This window comes from Homo sapiens, chromosome 1, assembly GCF_000001405.40.
Source record: "Homo sapiens chromosome 1, GRCh38.p14 Primary Assembly".
Classification (NCBI taxonomy): domain Eukaryota; kingdom Metazoa; phylum Chordata; class Mammalia; order Primates; family Hominidae; genus Homo; species Homo sapiens.
The window spans coordinates 146,805,685-146,824,080 of NC_000001.11; the positions used below are offsets into that span (position 1 = coordinate 146,805,685).

The following is an 18,396-nucleotide window of genomic DNA, read 5'->3' on the forward strand; positions in this document are numbered from 1 at the left end:
GGTGTGATGACAGTATTGTGCAGGATTGCAGGAGAAAGTCCTTTCTTGAGGAGGTGTATTTAGAGGCAAGGAGTCATCATGTCTGCAAGGTATCTTCAAATGGCTCAGGAGAAAAAGTGGCAACTGTTAAAACTAGTTATTACTGTACCAGGCCTTCAACTCTTAAAGTTTTCTTTTTTAAAAGATGGTGGAAATGATAAATAAATTAAAGGCAAAAAATTTTTTTTGATCAGGAAACATGAAAATACCACTAGAAAAATGGGAACTTCTTATTAAACACAGCAGATTAAACACATGTTTATCTCTACCTCTCCCAAAACAGTAAGATTTTCTTTTCGCGTATAATTCTAAGAATAAAGAGAAGGAGAGAGAGCTGGTGGTGAGGGGTATATGCCAACAAAATATTAGGAAGTAGACAGCAAGCAGATGGGGATAACTGGCTTAGTGGTACCAAGAAGGCTACAATCCCCGCTGTCCATTGTGGGTTCTGCCAGGAGCTAAGACTTGAGTTCCACGCACACCCTCCAGCTTCCAGCTTTCTCTAGGGTTTCATCCTCCTTCTGAGGGACTAGGGTGCCAAGGAATGCACTGGTCTTGTCACTACCCAAGACTAGACCCTGCCCTGCTCTAGCCTTCCTGACCCTGCAGCACCATCTCCCCAGATGACAGACATGTGGCCATCTCTGTCTTCTGTGTGTGTGTACAAAAAGTGAATATTTAAGACCTCATGCTCGTTTTTAATTAAGGCTCAAGAGGAGCAGACCAGCTCATCTAAGGGGGGCAAACAGAAAATGAAAGAAAAGATAGACCAAGTCTTCGAGAGTCAGAAAGACAAGCGTCACATGGCCTTAAACAGGAAGGTCCTTTCTGGGGAACCTGCTGGAACCATTTCCCAGCTGTCAGATACAGACCTGGACAACTTCAACGGGCAGCACTCCCAGGAGAAATTCACCAGGTGGGCCTTCCAGCAACCCAGGGAGGGGAATCTGGGCCAAAGCCCACACTGAGGGTGTGACTGTCACAGCACTGGAGGGGAACAGAGCTGTCCTGCCTGTGGGGCTCCAGGGGCCACCATGCCTACCCCAACAGGACAGGACTTCCAGGCAGCTCTCCTGTCTTCTCTTGGCCAGAGGGGAGCACTCTCACTTTATAAACCTGTGTGGTCATTTGCAGACTGAATCACTTCCGGTGGATCGTGCCAGCCAATGGCGAGGTAACGTTGCAGGTGCACTTCTCTTCTGATGAGTTCGGGAACTTTGACCAAACCTTTAACTTTGAGATCCTAGGAACTTGCTGCCAGTACCAGCTCTACTGCCGAGGCATCTGCACTTACCCATACATTTGCCAAGACCCAAAGTAAGTGTGTTTCATTTTAAAAGAAAAGGTTGACAGATGTGTTTTCATTTTACTCCATGGCACTTTGAACAAGGTGGCTCTTACCATAACGTGGAGCTGGGGCAGCACCCCAGCCCCTCTTGTCGTATCAGCTTCCATGTCTTGAATATTGACCAAGAGCCACAGGGAGGACATGATACTACCAGGATTCCCAGACTGCAATAAAGAGAATGATCATAGGTGCAAAGGGGGAGGAAAAAAGTCTTCCTTTGGCAAATTAGTTTGCTTATTTAACTATTAAGCAAATTTAAAGCAGTTCTATCCTGTAGTATAGAAACCATGTGTGACTCTGCATGGGTGAAATTTTTCCAAGCTACTGAACACCACTGTAGAGCTCCTACACTACAGAAAAGCACCTGGCTGAGCAACTGGCCATATTAGACCAAGGGACTCAGAAGCTAATTCATATCTCCCAGAACCAATTTTCCATAGGGATTCTCAGGAATGTTTTCAGCTGGGTGCACTGGGACAGAATATCTGACTCAGCTCTGTCACCGCTCCTCATTATAGAAGACACCACTGGGAGTCTTTTTTTTTCAAGTTCATTTCATACTGTCTTCTCTGGTGGTGGGAAGGAGCTGGGACAAAGAAGAGTCACTCTGTCTCCAGATGCCCGGATCCCGTGTTGAGCAGGGAATATTGGGTTTATGTAAACATCACGTGGCAGCATCAAACTTCTGTTCAGGCAGCCTCTCCTCACCTTTTCCCCTCCTGTGTTCAGAGTGGTATTTCCTCAGCGGAAGATGGACATGAAGACAAATGAGGTCATCTTTAAGAAGTATGTTATGAGCACGGAGACGTACTACTTTGGGCCACTACTTTGTGGAAAATCAAGAGATAAGTAAGTGTTCCATTATTTTAAAGCAGATTTCAGACTGCTGGGTTGGGCTCATGAACAGTGCAAGTAGGATTCCTGTGTACATAGATGTAGCTTTTACTAATGCTGCCTCTCTTAGCCCCAACCACAAATCAGGAGAACTGGGTTCTTGTGTCCCAACTCCCTGCTGGACACCCAGAGGAATAAGGGTGCCATGTTCCCATATGGGAAGGCCTAGGAGAGGTTTCAGGCTTGATCAGGGTAGGATCAAGAGTTTGCTTTAGCTTATGTTCAGTTTAAGAGGCTGGGAAGATATTTCTGTAGTTACATGAAGCAGAGAATAGGTTATACAGCTTTGGTTCTCAAAGGAGAGATCACTCTTCAAGGCAACAAAAGCCACAGACGTAGATGAGATTGCCTGAGAGAGGGCTGTACAGGTAAGAAGAAAAGAAGCCCTGAATAACTCCAATATGCACAAAAGGAGGAGCAAGGAGATGAGAAAGAGAGCTAGCGCTATTGGGGAAACCAAAAAGACCAGTGTTATGGAGCCATGAAGAGAGGACATGGTTGCTACATTGAATACTGAGGAGAGGGCAGAAGGATGAGGGCATAGATGTCCACAGGGTTCAACAACATGGAGGTCACTAGGGGCCTTAGCAAGAGTTCTGTGCCCAAGCAAAGTGAAGTGAGAAGTCAGATGTGAAGAAGATAACTCTTTGGAGAAGCTTGGCTCTGAAGGGAGATGGGAGGAAAGCCTGGAGCGCAGGGCAGGCTGTTCGTGCGCTGTTATTCTTATGAGGCTTGCATGCCGAGAGGAAATGGAAGGAAGAGGTTGGAATTTCAGGAGATGGGAAGGGCCATCAATGGCATAGCTCCTTGAGACAACACAGTGGGATGTGGGGAGGCTGGCTTGTGCCAGGAAGAGGGACTGTCACTGCATGCCAACGGGGAGAAAGGCGAGATGGCATTGCAGAAGGTAGGTTTACAATTTGATTGGAAGGGTGAGGAGACTCCTACGCAATCATGTCTTTTTCTCCTTGACAAATGATGTGTGGTCATCCCTTGCAAGTGAGGGGAGTGGCGAAAGTTTAAAATCTTGAGGAAATAGAGGGGGTATGAAAAACAGTTTTTGTGGAAAGTAGGAGAGGGAGCATGTTAGAGAAACAGACTGAGATTTTTAGGCAGAATTGGGGACCCACAGGTGAGACTGATGATCAGCCATTCTTAGCGATACTAGTTTTTTTCAGTTATATACAAATTTCTTATCATATAGGCAGGGAGTGAAACCAAAACTGGAACCAAGGTCTCCACCATGTCTTCATTCAATACAATGTTTCTTGTGCTAAGTAGAGGGTGTTAATTTCTGGGCTTTCTCGGTGCAGCTTATGGGCCATCTTTGTCCTCCATTCCCTTATCACCTCCACTTTATTCCCTGAGATGCTGGATTAAAAATTGAAGATGAAGGGAATTTGCTGATGATGGAGAAGATCTTCAAAGCCGGACAGGAGGGCTTAGGAGGGAAAAGTATGGTCAGGTTGATGGACATGAGGTACAGAACAGTCTGGGAGTGGGAGTCAGGGAAATGATGGTTGTTCAAAGAGGCACATGTTTGGGGCAGCATTGGAATTAACCAGGATGTTGGGCGAGATGACACTGATGTGGGAAGGACAGTGACTACGGTAATCCAAAATAAGTTCCAGTACAACTGGGTATTATTCACTCATTCTTTTCTTTTCTTGTCTTTTTTTTTTTTTTTTTTTTAAGATAGGGTCTTACTCCGTCACCCAGGCTGGAATGCAGTGGTGCAATCTCAGCTCACTGCAGCCTTGAGCTCCCAGGCTCAAGCAATCCTCCCACCTCTGCCTCCCCAGTAGCTGGGACTACAGGTGTGTGCAACCACACCTGGCTAATTTTTGTAGAGATGGGGTTTCACCATGTTGCCCAGGCTGGTCTCGAACTCCGAGCTCAAGCAATCTGCCCACCTCAGCCTCTCAAAGTGTTGGATTACAGGCGTGAGCCACTGTGCCAAGCCTGTTCACTTATTATTTTAAACCGTGCTGAGCCTCAGTGTCCTCATCTGCAAAATGGGAAAGCAACAAATTCGTGAGGACTGAACTGGGTAACGCACCTGGAGCCTTTAGCACAGTGCCGGATGGAAGTGATTAGCGGTTAAGTGAGAAGGCGGCACCCCTTTGGCAGATATTCATACGGAGTGTTCTCTGTTTCTCTGACTCTCATTTGGTCTCTGTCATTCTCTCTCCTTTCATCCTCCATCATGGCCTATCTAAAACCTTTTTCAGAGTGTTTCTGCTTTCCTAGCCTGTGCCATGACCTCTGATGATGTGCCTCTTTTTCCCTTGGGCCTTCTGGTTTGCTTCGCTCTGTTACTATTAACTGAGTCTCCCTCAGTGCCCACAGTGCTCAACTCTGCAGATCTCTCCTTAAGGTACTAAGGAACAGAAACTGCCTCCTAACAGTGAACAAGGCCAAATGAATTCATGTCAGAACAGTAACATTCTCTGAGGGTTTGGGAGAAGGAGGTGAATGAGGTCATCTCTAAAACAGATGTGAAATAAAAAATTACTCAAGTGAGGCCGGGCACGGTGGCTCATGCCTGTAATCCCAGCACTTTGGGAGGCCCAGGCAGGCGGATCATCTGAGGTCAGCAGTTCGAGACCAGCCTGGCTAACATGGTGAAACCCCGTTTCTACTAAAAATACAAAAAATTAGCCAGGTGTGGTGGCATGCACCTGTAATCCCAGCTACTTGGGAGGCTGAAGCAGGAGAATTGCTTGAACCCAGGAGGTGGAGGTTGCAGTGAGCTGAGATTGCGCCACTGCACTCCAACTTGGGCAACAAGAACGAAACTCCCTCACAAAAAAAAAAAAAAAAGTTACTCAAGTGATAATCTCTCTCAGGGATATAAGCAGGTGTAAGGATAGATCTACATATTTCTCAGGATTCTTTGCAATAATCATAGCTAACATTCACTGGGCATTTGCTATCCACAGCTGTCCTGAGAGCTTTAGATGTGTGATCTCACTTCCTACTCAGCAGTCCTAAGTGGTATTATCACCTCATTTTAGAGATAAGGAGACCAAGGCTTGAGGGAGTCAAGTCACAGTGTAGCATTTATTCTCCAAGGCAAGTCTGCACAACTACAGATCTCATGTTCTTAGCCACCATGCCACTGCCTCCATGCAGCCACACTGTCCCTCTGAATTGCCTTTCTCATCACAGCCTTCTTTTCCACCTGCATTCTCATTCAGTCTTCATACCCTTAACCCCATTCTTGTTCATCCCCAGGTACAAGTCATCCTTATTCCCAGGCAACATGGAGACGCTAACAATCCTGAACACTTCCTTAATGGTGGTGGAGGCATCCTTCTATTTTCAGAATGATGTCAAAGCAAACACGTACTTCCTGGAACCCAACACCATGGTCCTGAAACCCAATGAGAAGCAGGTACGGTCATGTGGACACAAGTCACCAGGGCAAGGCTTTCTTGGGAAATTTGAGGCCTTGGCATCCTTGGTGTAAATGTACTTTCTTTTGACTTTTCCTTCCATCAGATATTAAACGTATGGGCCTACCCTACTTCAGTTGGTGTCTTTGAAGACAGCATTGTCTGCTGCATCAATGACAACCCAGAGCCAGCCATCTTCCAATTAAGCTGCCAGGGGATCCGCCCGGAACTAGAGCTGGAACCCAGGCAATTACATTTTGACCGGCTCTTGCTGCACAGGTCAGAGTTCTAGATCATGTCAGGACTGGAAGGGAATTTAAAGAGCGTTTAGTTCTAGGGTAACCAACTCATCCTGATTTACTCCAGACTCTCCTGGTTTTAGCACTGAAAGTTCTGCACCCTGGGAAACTCCTTGGTCCTATGCAAACCAGGATGGTTAGTAAACCTATTTAATTAACAGATTGTTAACTTGGGTTCAGTGGATGAACTTCAGCAGGGCCAAGGACCCCCCTAAGATCAACTACCAAAATATGCGTATGTCTGTGTTTCTGCAGAAGGACCAGCTTTCTTCAGATTCTCAAAGCAGTCTATTGCCCAAGAGGTTAAGAATCTTTGCTCTAGAAGTTAGAGTAGAAGCAGAACATTAGACCGAAACTAGAACTTACATATTCATTAATTGGAATTATTATTGGAATTGGTATTATTATTCTAAATAGAAAAATGTTTATTTCTGGGGCTTCTGGGAGAGAATATTGTTATGATACGTGTCCTGCATTCTTTAATCACCACCACCAGCCCCATTTCCTGATAAATACTAATTAAAGAACTAAGTAATAACTGAAGTAACCAAAAGTGCTTTTTCTTACCTCCAGTGAGTCATGATCATGCCACTACACTCTAGCCTGGGTGATAGAGTGAAACCTTGTCTCGAAAAAAAAAAAAGCATAGAGAGAAAAATATTGGTAAAAATGAGCAGAACCCCAGTAAATAGTGGGACAACATCAAGCAGTATAACTAACATATTTGTGATTGGAATCCCAGAAGGAAAAGAGAGAGAGTGGGACAAAAATATATATATATATATATATATATATTTAAAGAGTAGATGGAACTTTCCCAAATTTGGTGAAAAAGCAAAAACGTATAGTTCCAAGAAGCTTAGCAAACCTTAAGCTGGATAAATATAGTTATAGCCCAAGTCTTGCCACTAAATCTGTGACTTCGGGGCCATCAATTAACCTCTCTAAGCTTCAGGGATTTTTTTTGTTTCGAGACAGAGTCTCACTCTGTCGCCCAGGCTGGAGTACAGTGGTGCGATCTCGGCTTGCTGCAACCTCTGCCTCCCGGATTCAAGCGATTCTCCTGCCTCAGCCTCCTGAGTAGCTGGGATTATGGGTGGGCATGTGCCACCACACCCAGCTAACTTTTTGTATTTTTTTTTTTAGTAGAGACAGGGTTTTGCCATGTTGCCCAGGCTGGTCTCAACTCCTGAGCTCCGGTAATTCACCCATCCCAACCTCCTGAAGTGCTGGGATTACAGGCTGAGCCACTGTGCCTGGATGTTTCAGGTTTTTTATAGGTCATCTGGGGTTAATAATATCAACTCCACCTATTTTATATAATAGATTAATAACCAAGAAATAACACATTAAGTCAACACATTAAGTCAAAGTTTAGTCCAACTACTTAAAAGCAGAAATTAAGAGAAAATCTTGAAAGCAGCCAGGATAAAATGAAATACAATATGACTGACGCTTCATCAGTAACAAAGGAAGCTGGAAGACAATAGAATGGCATTTTTAATGTGCTAAAGGAAAATACGGTTGACCTTTGAACAATGCAGGTTTGAACTGGGTGGGTCTGCTTATATGTGAATTTTTTTTTCAATGAAACACAAAGTAAAAATATGGGCCGGGCGTGGTGGCTCACGCCTGTAATCCCAGCACTTTGGGAGGCCGAGGCGGGTGGATCATGAGGTCAGGAGATCGAGACCATCCTGGCTAACACAGTGAAACCCCGTCTCTACTAAAAATACAAAAAATTAGCCGGGAGCGGTGGCGGGCTCCTGTAGTCCCAGCTACTTGAGAGGCTGAGGCAGGAGAATGGCGTGAACCCAGGAGGCGGAGCTTGCAGTGAGCCGAGATCGCGCCACTGCACTCCAGCCTGGGCGACAGAGCCAGACGCTGTCTCAAAAAAAAAAAAAAAAATATGGTAGACCTAAATAAAACAATTCGAAAAAGGGTTAAGAAATGTTGTTCAGCACCCACACATGAAAGAGAAACTGCAATTTTTAAAAATCATATGCTTGGCCTGGTGCAGTGGCTCACGCCTATAATCCCAGCACTTTGGGAGGCCGAGACGGGCAGATCACGAGGTCAGGAGTTCCAGACCAGCCTGGCTAACACAGTGAAACCCCGTCTGTACTAAAAATACAAAAATTAGCCAGGCATGGTGGCGGGTGCCTATAATCCCAGCTACTCAGGAGGCTGAGGCAGGAGAATTGCTTGAGCCTGGGAGGCAGAGGTTGCAGTGAGCCGAGATCACACCACTGCACTCCAGACTGGATGACAGAGCAAGACTCCGTCTCCAAAAAAAAAAAAAAAAAAGAAAGAAAAAAAAACTATATGCTAAGGATTATGGCCATTATCCTTAGCAAACTAATGCAGGAACGGAAAACCAAATACCCCATGTTCTCACTTGGAAGTGGGAGCTAAGTGATGAGAACCAGTGGGCACAAAATGGGGAGCAACAGACACTTGAGGATGCTTGCGGGTGGAGGGTGGGAGGAGGGAGAAGAGGAGAAAAAATAACTATTGGGTACTAGGCTTAGGACCTGGGTGATGGAATAATCTGTACAGCAAACCCCCATGACATGAGTTTACCTCTACAACAAACCTGCACATGAACCCCTGAACCTAAAACAAAAGTTAAAAAAAAAACATATGAAACTACAAAATTTGAAATGAAATTGCAACTTTCCTTTTGTCTCTGCAGACAGGAATCCAGGGTAGTTCTTCTCCGCAATGTCACGCTCCTGCCTGTGGCCTGGCGGATCACCAGCCTGGAGCACTTGGGTGATGATTTCACTGTATCCCTGATGCAGGGGACCATCCCCCCTGAGGCTGAGTACGGCCTGCACCTGTACTTTCAGCCCACCAAGCCTGTCAACATCAAGAAGGCTATTCGGTTGGAGGTGAGGCTTCACACATCCACAGACTTGGTTATCAAAGCATGTACACACACACACACACACACACACACACACACACACACACACACACACAGAGGTCTCCCTGTTACATGCTCCTATCTGATCCCCTTTCGATATCCCCAGTCCACAATCTCTTGCTGTGCACACAACTGCAAGCTCCATAGAGGCAATATTGCTTATGGCTGATTCCCCAGTGCCAGGAACAGAGCAATCAATGTGGAAGGAAGGAACAAATAAATGAATGAATGAATGAATGAATGAACAAATGAACAAATGGTGTTGCTATACCTAGGTAAGCATCAGAGTCCTGATTTCACACTCCTAAACCCAGTCACCTATCGGATTCCTATCTGGGGAAATGTCACCCTCCACCCTGTTGCTCCCAACAGACACCTGGGGATCAGCCTTAATTCCCCCTTTTCTTAATGGCCTCCCTTCCGACGCAGGCCTCCAACAAAGGTTGCTAATTTTACCTCCCAATGTATCTTTTTTTTTTTTTTTTTGAGATGGAGTCTCGCTCTGTCACCCTGGCTGGAGTGCAGTGGTGTGATCTCGGCTCACTGCAACCTCCACCTCCAGGGTTCAAGCAATTCTTCTGCCTCAGCCTCCAGAGTAGCTGGGACTACAGGCACGCGCCACTACACCCAGCTAACTTTTTGTATTTTTAGTAGAGACGGGGTTTCACCATGTTGGCCAGGCTGGCCTCAAACTCCTGACCTCAAGTGATCCTCCTGCCTCGGCCTCCCAAAGTGCTGGGATTACAGGCATGGTGCCTCACGATGTATCTTTCCCATCCACTTCTTTCTCCTCGCTGTTGCCACCACCTTGTCCAGGCCACCTGCAGCTTCTCTCACCTGGACTTCTACAGAGGTTTCCTAACTGGCTTCCCTGTTGGCATTCGCCACAGTGTCCAGAGGGATCTTTACAATGTCATTCAGACAGGTTATGCCCCACCTAACGCACTCTCCTGGCTTCCCACTGCAGTAGGAATAAAGCCCGGGGTCCTCACCTGCCTCTGAGACAATGCCTGCCTCCACATCGCAACTTGCTCCACCCTCGCCCTCAATCATTGGCTCCCACGCACTGTCTTGGCTCTTTCTTGGTTCAAGCCACTGACCTTGTTGCAACCCTGCTGGGAATCTGCCCTTAGGCTCCAGCTTTAGGGTCCCCCAACATTGCTGTTTCAACTGGGCTTCTCTAATCATCCCTTTGAGAGAATCCCTCTTATGTGCAATAACCCACCCCGTCTTCCATCCTTCAGAGCACCACCTCTTCCTAACATTATCCTGCTTCTTTCTTTACTTTCTTATATGAACTGCATCAGGGCAGGATCTCACCTGACTTAACATCTGTCTTAGTTCCCCAAGGCTGCTACAACAAATTAGCATATACTGGGTGACTAAAAAACAGACATTCCTCTCTCACCGTTCTGGAGGCGAGATGTCCAAAATCAAGGTGCCGGCAGGGCCATGCTCTCTCTGAAGGCTCCAGGGAAGAACCCTTCCTCTCTCTCCCCTTCAGCTTCTGGGGTCTCCTGCGAGTGTTCTCAGCTTGTGGCTGCATCACTCCAGTCTCTGCCTCTGTCATCATCACAACACCTCTTCTGTCTGTGTCTTCTCTTCCGTCTCTTATAAGAATATTTATCATTGGATTTAAGGCACACTCAGATAATCTAAGACGATCTCATCTCTAGATCTTTGACTTAATTAAATCCACAAATACCCTTTTTTCCAAATAAGGTCATATTCACAGGCTCCAGGAGTTAAGAAGTAGACATACTTTTTGGGGGACCACAGTTCAACCCCCCATACCATCATATTCCCAGTGTCTAGCATGGGATTGGATGAAGTAGGCACTCAGCAGAATCTAATGAATGAATGAATGCCATTGAGTTTTAGTACTTGAACTAGGCCGGGCATGGTGGCTAACGCCTGTAATCCCATCATTTTGGGAGGCCTAGGTGGGTAGATCACTTGAGGTCAGGAGTTCAAGACCACCCTGGCCAACATGGTGAAATTGCGCCTCTAAATACAAAAATACAAAAATACAAAATTACAAAAATTACAAATTACAAAAATTAGCCGGATGTGGTGGCGCACGCCTGTAACCCCAGCTACTCGGGAGGCTGAGGCAGGAGAATCACTTGAACCCTGGAGGCGGAGGTTGCAATGAGCCAAGTTCGCACCACTGCACTCCAGCCTGGGCAAGAGAGCAAGACTCTGTCTCAAAAAAAAAAAAAAAAAAATACTTGAACTGATTCTTTGACATTCACGGGATCATCCCAGCTTCTCTTTGAATGCTTCCAGGAACAGAAAATTTACCACTACCGCTTAAAGCAGCCTGTTCTGCCTTTAAACAGGTCTGTCAATTCTTCTTTGGGTTGAGCTCAGAATTCTTCCTGTCAATTACATGCATGAATCATGTTTCTACCTTTTGGGGCCACTCAGTGGATCTAATCTCTCTTATCCCTTATCAATGACAGCCCTTCACTGAAAGGGCTGAAAACAGATATTGATAGATTCATTCACTCCATGAATGTGTAGAAGCCCAGAGGTTCTGGTCAACGCTTTTAGCACCAGCCTCTGCACAGGCACAGAGCTCTGCACCAGGTACCCAGACCCCTGGCTGGTGTAGGGCCTGGAGTCCCACAGCTGTGCCAGCTTCGTCCTTTAGTTGCTGGATCATGGGGAGTCCAGGGGTTCCTGTGGTGGGGATGCACAGGAGGCAGGCAGCAAGGGGATATTGGAGAGGTCATCATGACAGCTGCTTACCAACTGGTACAGAAAGGCTTTTGTTTTTATTATTATTTTGTTTTATTTTTCTTGACACAGGGTCTTACTCTGTTGCTCAGGCTGGAGTGCAGTGGTGCAATCTCAGCTCACTGCAACTTCCACCTCCTGGGCTCAAGCAATCCTCCCACCTCAGCCTCCTGAGTAGCTAGGACCACAGGCGTGCACCACCACACCCAGCTAATTTTTGTATTTTTTGTAGAGATGAGGTCTTGCCATGTTGCCCAGGCAGGTCCCAAACTCCTGAGCTCAAGCGATCTGCCCCCCTTGTCCTCCCAAAGTGCTGGGATTATAGGCGTGAGCCACTGCAACCGGCCACATTTTTGTATTTTCACAACTGTTGTGACCATCTCCATGTGTCCCAGCCAAACAGCAGCCTGATTAGGGCTCTGAACAAAGCAGCGTGGACCTCCGTAGAGCCCCGCGAAGTGAACTTATATTCACTTCCACATCCACAGAAGGAAATGCCTTCATCTCCAGTCCCTTTTGAAAGCCTTTGGTGAACTTGTTTTATTTCATCTGTATAACTCTTCAATTGTCCTTCCTATTTTCCTCAATTCAAAATTCAGCCTCCCCACTGCCTCCGACCCACCCTGGGGAAGCCAAGAAATAGAAGGCTCCAGGCACTTGGCATCCCTCAAGAGGGAGGCACTACACACATCCTGTCAGCCCATCTTGTCATCTGTCAGAGGGCAAGCAGTCAGAGAAAGAAGGCGAAACTCAAGTCGGTCCAGTTTGCTCTGTGAAACATTGGCAAGCATCTAATGAAAGAGAAGATGGAAATTCTGAATTAAAACTTGAGTTTGGTGACAGCTGCAAATTTCCTCCTGGCACCCAAAGCACATGCAATAGGGAGTGGGTGGCTTGGGCTTTCAACTGGAGCAAAGACAGAGGTGGACTCCCCAGAGCAGACCCAGGAGAGCTTCCCCCACTGCCCCCCAGTTCTTTTCCTGGACAGATGGACCCTTTACCGCCTCCTAGTTAGCCTCAAGAGGCAACAGTTGGTTCATGTCATTTACCCACTTTTTGATGGGATTATCTGGGGATTTTTTTGTTGATTTGATTGAGTTCCTTGTATATTCTGGATATTAGTCCTTTGTCAGATGCATAGTTTGCAAATATTTTCTGCCATTCTGTGGGTTGTCAGTCTAACCATTTGTACCCCCAAAAGCTATCAAAATAAAATATATGTATATATAAAGAAGAGGGAAAAAAAGAGTCAGCAATCAGGTCAGGCTGACAGCTGCAGCAGTTTAGAGGTGCCAGAGAACAATGAGGGAGGGACCATCCCCAGGCATGACAACAGAGGGGTCCACGATATTCACAGAAATAAAACATTGGGTATTTCCAAACATTAAACACTTGCTTTCTACGAAAAGTCTAGCACTTTCCCCACAGGCTGAGCCACAAACAAAGAACAGAACGATTCAAATTTATAAAATGAGTAGAGCAAGGATGACCTGGAGCATAAAGGTTTTCCATTTCAACTGTCAGGGCAGTGCTCACTAGGTTCATTTGATTTAGAAGTTAAAAAAAAAACAAAAAAAAAACAGTTGGGCATGATGGCTCACATCTATAACCCCAACACTTTTGGAGGCTGAGACGGGAGGATTGTTTGAGTTCAAGAGTTCAAGACCAGCCTAGGCAACATGGTGAAATCCCATCTCTATAAAAAACAATACAAAAATTAGCCGAGCATGATGATGCACTCCTGTAGTCCCAGCTACTCGGGAGGCTGAGATGGGAGGATGGCTTGAGCCCAGGAGGTCGAGGCTGCAGTGAGCCGAGATTGCGCCACTGCACTCCAGCCTGGGTGACAGAGTGAGAGCCTGCCTCAAAAAAGAAAACCACTTTCCTGTAATGTCTACCCCAAGCCCAAACTTCAGTAATGTAGCAACAATAAAAAAGTCAGTCCCTTTTCCCCATTCTTGTATTCTTTGTACCAGCATTCCCCAGAGTATTAAGAGGAGCACAAATCCTACCAAATGCTTGGCGAAGATAAAATACCTACAGGGGAATACACTTCAAAACGTTCCCTGCCGTATCCCCTTTAGGATATTACATGTTTCAGGCTCCAAGCACCTATAGGTCTTGCTTTTACTGAAGAATTTCCCTTTCCCTGCCAGGTTTTAGATGCAGAAAATCTTCTTGGTGTTGTTCAGATTGAAAATATCATGGTCTTTGCAGAGGCATACGACATCGCCTTGGACATCACCTTCCCCAAAGGTCTGTTGGGCCCTTCAAGGACAGGATGTTTGGAAGTTGGGTCTTTTGTATAGTGTATTTCTGTGTAGAGAAAGGCTAGTGTGTTGTTAGTATTGCAGGGATTGGGGGTGGGGCAATTTTAATAAATAATAATGTGAGCCCCAGAGTGATATTAGCAACATGACTACAAATCGTAATTTCTCCAACCAGAGGTAGAAAGCGGGTGGTCATAGATGTAAAATTTGCAGAGCTCTTTTCAGAGCAGTCATTTACAGTAAACACCTCTCCTCTTTCCTGTATTAGTTTTCTATCACTGCCATAAAATGTCCCCATAAGCTTTCTGGCTTAAAACAACACAAACATATTGCCCTACAGTTCTGGAAGTCACAAGTGCAAAATGGGTCTCACTGGGCTAAAATCAAGGTGTCAGCAGGGCTGCCTTCCCTTCTGGAAGCTCTGGGGGAGAATCCATTTCCATACCGTTTCCAACTCCTAGAGGCCGCCCACATGGTCCCCTTCCTCCACATTCAAAGACAGCAAGGTTGGGCCAACTCCATCTCACGTTGCCTTTTCTCTGGTTCTCCCACCCTGCCTTCCTCTTTTGCTCTTAAGCCCCCTTGTGATTATATTGAGCTGACCAAGATATTCCAAATTAATCTCTGTATTTGTAGGTCAGTGAATTAATTCCATCTGCTTCTTTAATTCCCCTGTGCCATGTAAGGTAGCATACTCACAGATTCCAGGAATTGGGAGGTGGGGCTGAGGCTGTTATCTGTCCCTGCACTGCCCTAACACCCGAGTTTCAGCTCTCCCTTTAGCCTACAGCTCTGCATTTCCCTCCTTTCCCCAAGAGGTCTCCTCAGCAAAACTCATAGAATGTTAGAGCCACGTGTTTAGATGTCATGAGTCTCATGTACAAAGATCTTTTATTGCAGCATTTTTTATAACAATGAAAAGTTGGAAAAACCTAAATGCCCATCAATAATGAAATAATAGTATTGTAGGAATAATATCATGAATTATGGAACCACCATATCGTGGGATATTATGCAGCCCCAAAGAACACACTTATGAGGAGTTTTTAATTATTTGGGGGAAATGCTTATGAAGTAATACTAAGTAAAACAACATAAATATATGTGTAATATCCCAACTTTATGCAAGACTTTTTTAAATACTGAAAGTTTTAGCTGATGGTAGACATGAAAGGCAATGATCCTAGGATGGAGGGAATCCAGAGGGACCAGCCCTGTAGAGTGCATCAAGAGCAGCATCTGTTGTTTGTTTGCCCAGATTCAATTATAAGAGGCTTTTCTAGCCACAGTACTTTCAGAAAACAAATTCTCTTAAACTGTCACCATGCGTTTTCCATGTGAATTTCAACAGGCACTTCCCCTGCTTCCCACTCTCATGCCCATTCACCCCTCTCTGCCCTGGCCCCTGGTCTCTGCAGGAGCTGAAGGGGGACTGGATTTTGGGATTGTCAGGGTCACAGAGGAGGCGAAGCAGCCCCTGCAATTGAAGAACCGTGGGAAATATGAGATCGCGTTCAGGTAACTGGAATCCCATCAGATGTAAGGCCATCAAGTCCGCCGTGTGGAGGAATGTGGGGAAATATGAGATCGTGTTCAGGTAACCTGAATCCCATAGGGTTTGCGGCCGTCAAGTCCACCGTGGGGAATAGCGTGTCTGGGAAACTTATCAGTCAGTCAAGGAAATCATAAGAACCGTCTCTGCTTTTTTGCCTCCCTTGGCTTCAAAAGAATGGAATTCCACCTGCTAAGGAAGCAGAGATTCTCACACTGCTCTCAACTCTGCAGCTTAACAGGGCCCTTTAAGTGGCCCGGATGTACCTGGCCAGTTGGAACCATAGGTGTCTGGGAATGGAGGAAGAGACTTAGGGGAAGAGGCCGGGAGGGGGAGATTCTAGGGGTGAGAAGAGGTCCCAGGGTGGAGGGAGAGACTGGAGATGGGCGACCTGGCCTCAAGCTGTCCTGCCTTCTGCCAGCTCTTATCTGCTTTACAAGGAGACCTTCTTCAGCAGATTTCATGTGAAGAAAGGGCTTTCCTTTTTCATTACATTCTAAGAATCACGATATTGTACAATCCAAATAGTAGCTTGGTAGAATAGAGCTCTGGCTTGTGCTCATCCCCAGAGATAAAAAATGAAACACAGAGGCTGGGTGTGATGGCTCATGCCTGTAATCCCAGCACTGTAGGAGGTGAAGGCAGGCAGATTGCTTGAGCCCAGGAGTTGGAGACCAGCCTGAGCAAAGTGGCAAGACCCCCCTGCCTCTACAAAATACAAAAAAAGTTAGCTAGGCGTGGTGGTCATATCACTTGTAGTCCCATCTACTTGGGAGACTGGAATGGGAGGATCGCTTGAGCCCAGAGAGGTCAAGGCTGCAGTGAGCCGTGATCGTGCCACTGCACTCCAGCCTCAGCAACAGAGCGAGACCCTGTCTCAAAAAAAAAAAAAAAGAAAAGAAAAGAAAAGAAAAGAAAAAGTAACACAAAATCAGGGAGGCTCCTCAGCAAGGAAAGGGTGGCACACGGGAGGAGGCAGGGAAACACCCCTCAGACAGGGCCACACAGCCCTTCATGGCAGTGCCCACACTTTTCATTCCATGGAAAGTTCTCCTTCCCCAAGAATTCACAGATGACAAAGAGACTTTTCCCCTGTCAGTTTGGAATTAGTGCTAAGTGGAATCTTGCCTGTTGGTGAGTTTTCTTTTAGATTAAGACAGGGGCATTAGCTGTGCTCTTTGAGGTTGCATGGAATGGAGTCACTCTCAGGTTGGAACAGGTGATAGAGGGTTTGTTGAAAGAATGTGCAGGGAAGCAAGGAAGCACAGGGGTGCAGGTAATTGGGCAGCCAGGGTCTCCTGGAGCATGGCGGTGACATTCAGAGCCCCACAGCAACTCCGGGCATCCCACCTCTGCCTAGGTGGGATACATCTTGAGCCTACGGCAGTCCCTCTGTCGGTCTCATGAGCCAGCTTCTTCCTGTGGTTCTTGCCTCACCTCCAGTAGGCCATGGGCTTCCCTCCCCAGTACCTCTGTTACAGGACCCCTGCCCCCTCCCTGCTGTCTCTCTCCCCAGGTTCTCTGGTTTCTGTGTCACTGTTCGCTCTGCATGTGCTAAAAGCCAGACAGACACAAACAGAGAAAGAGAGAATTAATTTAGTTGGTCCTTTTTCAGTATCCAATGTCCCTGTTGGACAGAGATCTCCTGCAATGGCCTCTCTTGACCATGGGATAGAGTATGGCTGTCTTTGCCGTAAGCATCAATTCCTAGCCTGGTCAATCCTGGCTAAGGAGAGGCGATCACGATGTACAAAGCACAGTGGACTCCGCCGGACGTAGTGGCTAAACAGGGCTGGAAACACAGCAGGCACTCAACCATCTAGAGTCTCCTCTCTGGGATCTTGAGTTCCCGCGATAATGACCTAGGCTGACTTCTTATACTTGTCTTTCAGCTTTTCCGTGGACTCTGTAGGGATTTCAACACCTAATATAAATTCCATGATCTCAGTCCAACCCAAAAAGGGTTCACTGACCCCAACAGAAAAACCCACAAATGTCCAAGTTTTCTTCCATGCAAAAAAGGAAGTGAAGATTGAGCACCAGCCTGTTCTGCGCTGTCAGGTAAGAGAGCTCCAAAGGGAGGGGCTGCCTCAATGGCAGGATCGTACGATTCCTGTTGCAAAGAAGGATACATGACCTAATCCATGCTCCAGGGAGAAAAGGGGAGGGCTGGCCTGGGTGGCAACCAGATAGGATACACCGGGGTTCTGTCCTAACTATCAGGCAAAGTCATCAGAATTAGATCCAGTGAGGAAATGTGCCCCCAGGTCTTTGGGGAGCATCAGAGGCAGGGAAGCTGAGTCCCATCATCAAGTGCAAAGGATGAGCAGGGAACTGAAAACATGAGGAAAAGTTGGCTATGTTGACCCTTGGCTGGTACACAGTAAGCTCTGTTTTAGTGTTCGCAATAATACGAAGACAGTGAAATAAAGAACATGGCTTCATGTCAATGATGAAAATAGGGAATGGGGTAGATAATCATGGGAATTCTGTAGCTACAGCAGTGGCTGACTTGCTCATTCTTCTTCCCGTTTTAGATTATTGAGCCCAATATTTCAGAAGGAGGTGAGATCATTGCCAGCATCCCAATTAAGTTTTCCGCGAATGCAGTATATTCCAAATACAACATCACCCCCTCCTCTGTCATCAACTTTGGAGCTTTGATCTGTGGCACTCGTAAAAGCACCACCTTCACCATAGAAAATCAAGGTGTTACTGACTTCAAGTTCGCCCTTTATAAGCTGACAGGGGAGAGCCCCATTCATCAAAAGAAAGCGTAAGACAAATATTTACTTAACTCATTCCATTCCCTCTTTAATTTATGCTTTATATTTTATAAAGAGCTTTCGTATATCTTACTTAAATTCACCCAATCCCGTTTTGTGGGTGAGATCAGTAAGATTTAGAAATGGCTCATTTAGATTA

At 46.2% G+C, this 18,396-nt stretch overlaps 1 pseudogene across 1 annotated transcript in view; it reads left to right on the top strand.

Moving 5' to 3' along the window:
- Positions 1-16,350, top strand: part of HYDIN2 (HYDIN axonemal central pair apparatus protein 2 (pseudogene)) — a 335,703-nt pseudogene extending 319,353 nt beyond the window's left edge. The window contains exons 49-56 of the transcript NR_103556.2: positions 747-955; positions 1,174-1,356; positions 2,117-2,236; positions 5,519-5,678; positions 5,786-5,958; positions 8,674-8,872; positions 13,806-13,905; positions 15,338-16,350. The product of NR_103556.2 is annotated as an HYDIN axonemal central pair apparatus protein 2 (pseudogene) (transcript). The remainder of the gene's footprint in view (positions 1-746; positions 956-1,173; positions 1,357-2,116; positions 2,237-5,518; positions 5,679-5,785; positions 5,959-8,673; positions 8,873-13,805; positions 13,906-15,337) is intronic.
- The last annotated feature ends 2,046 nt before the right edge of the window (positions 16,351-18,396 follow it).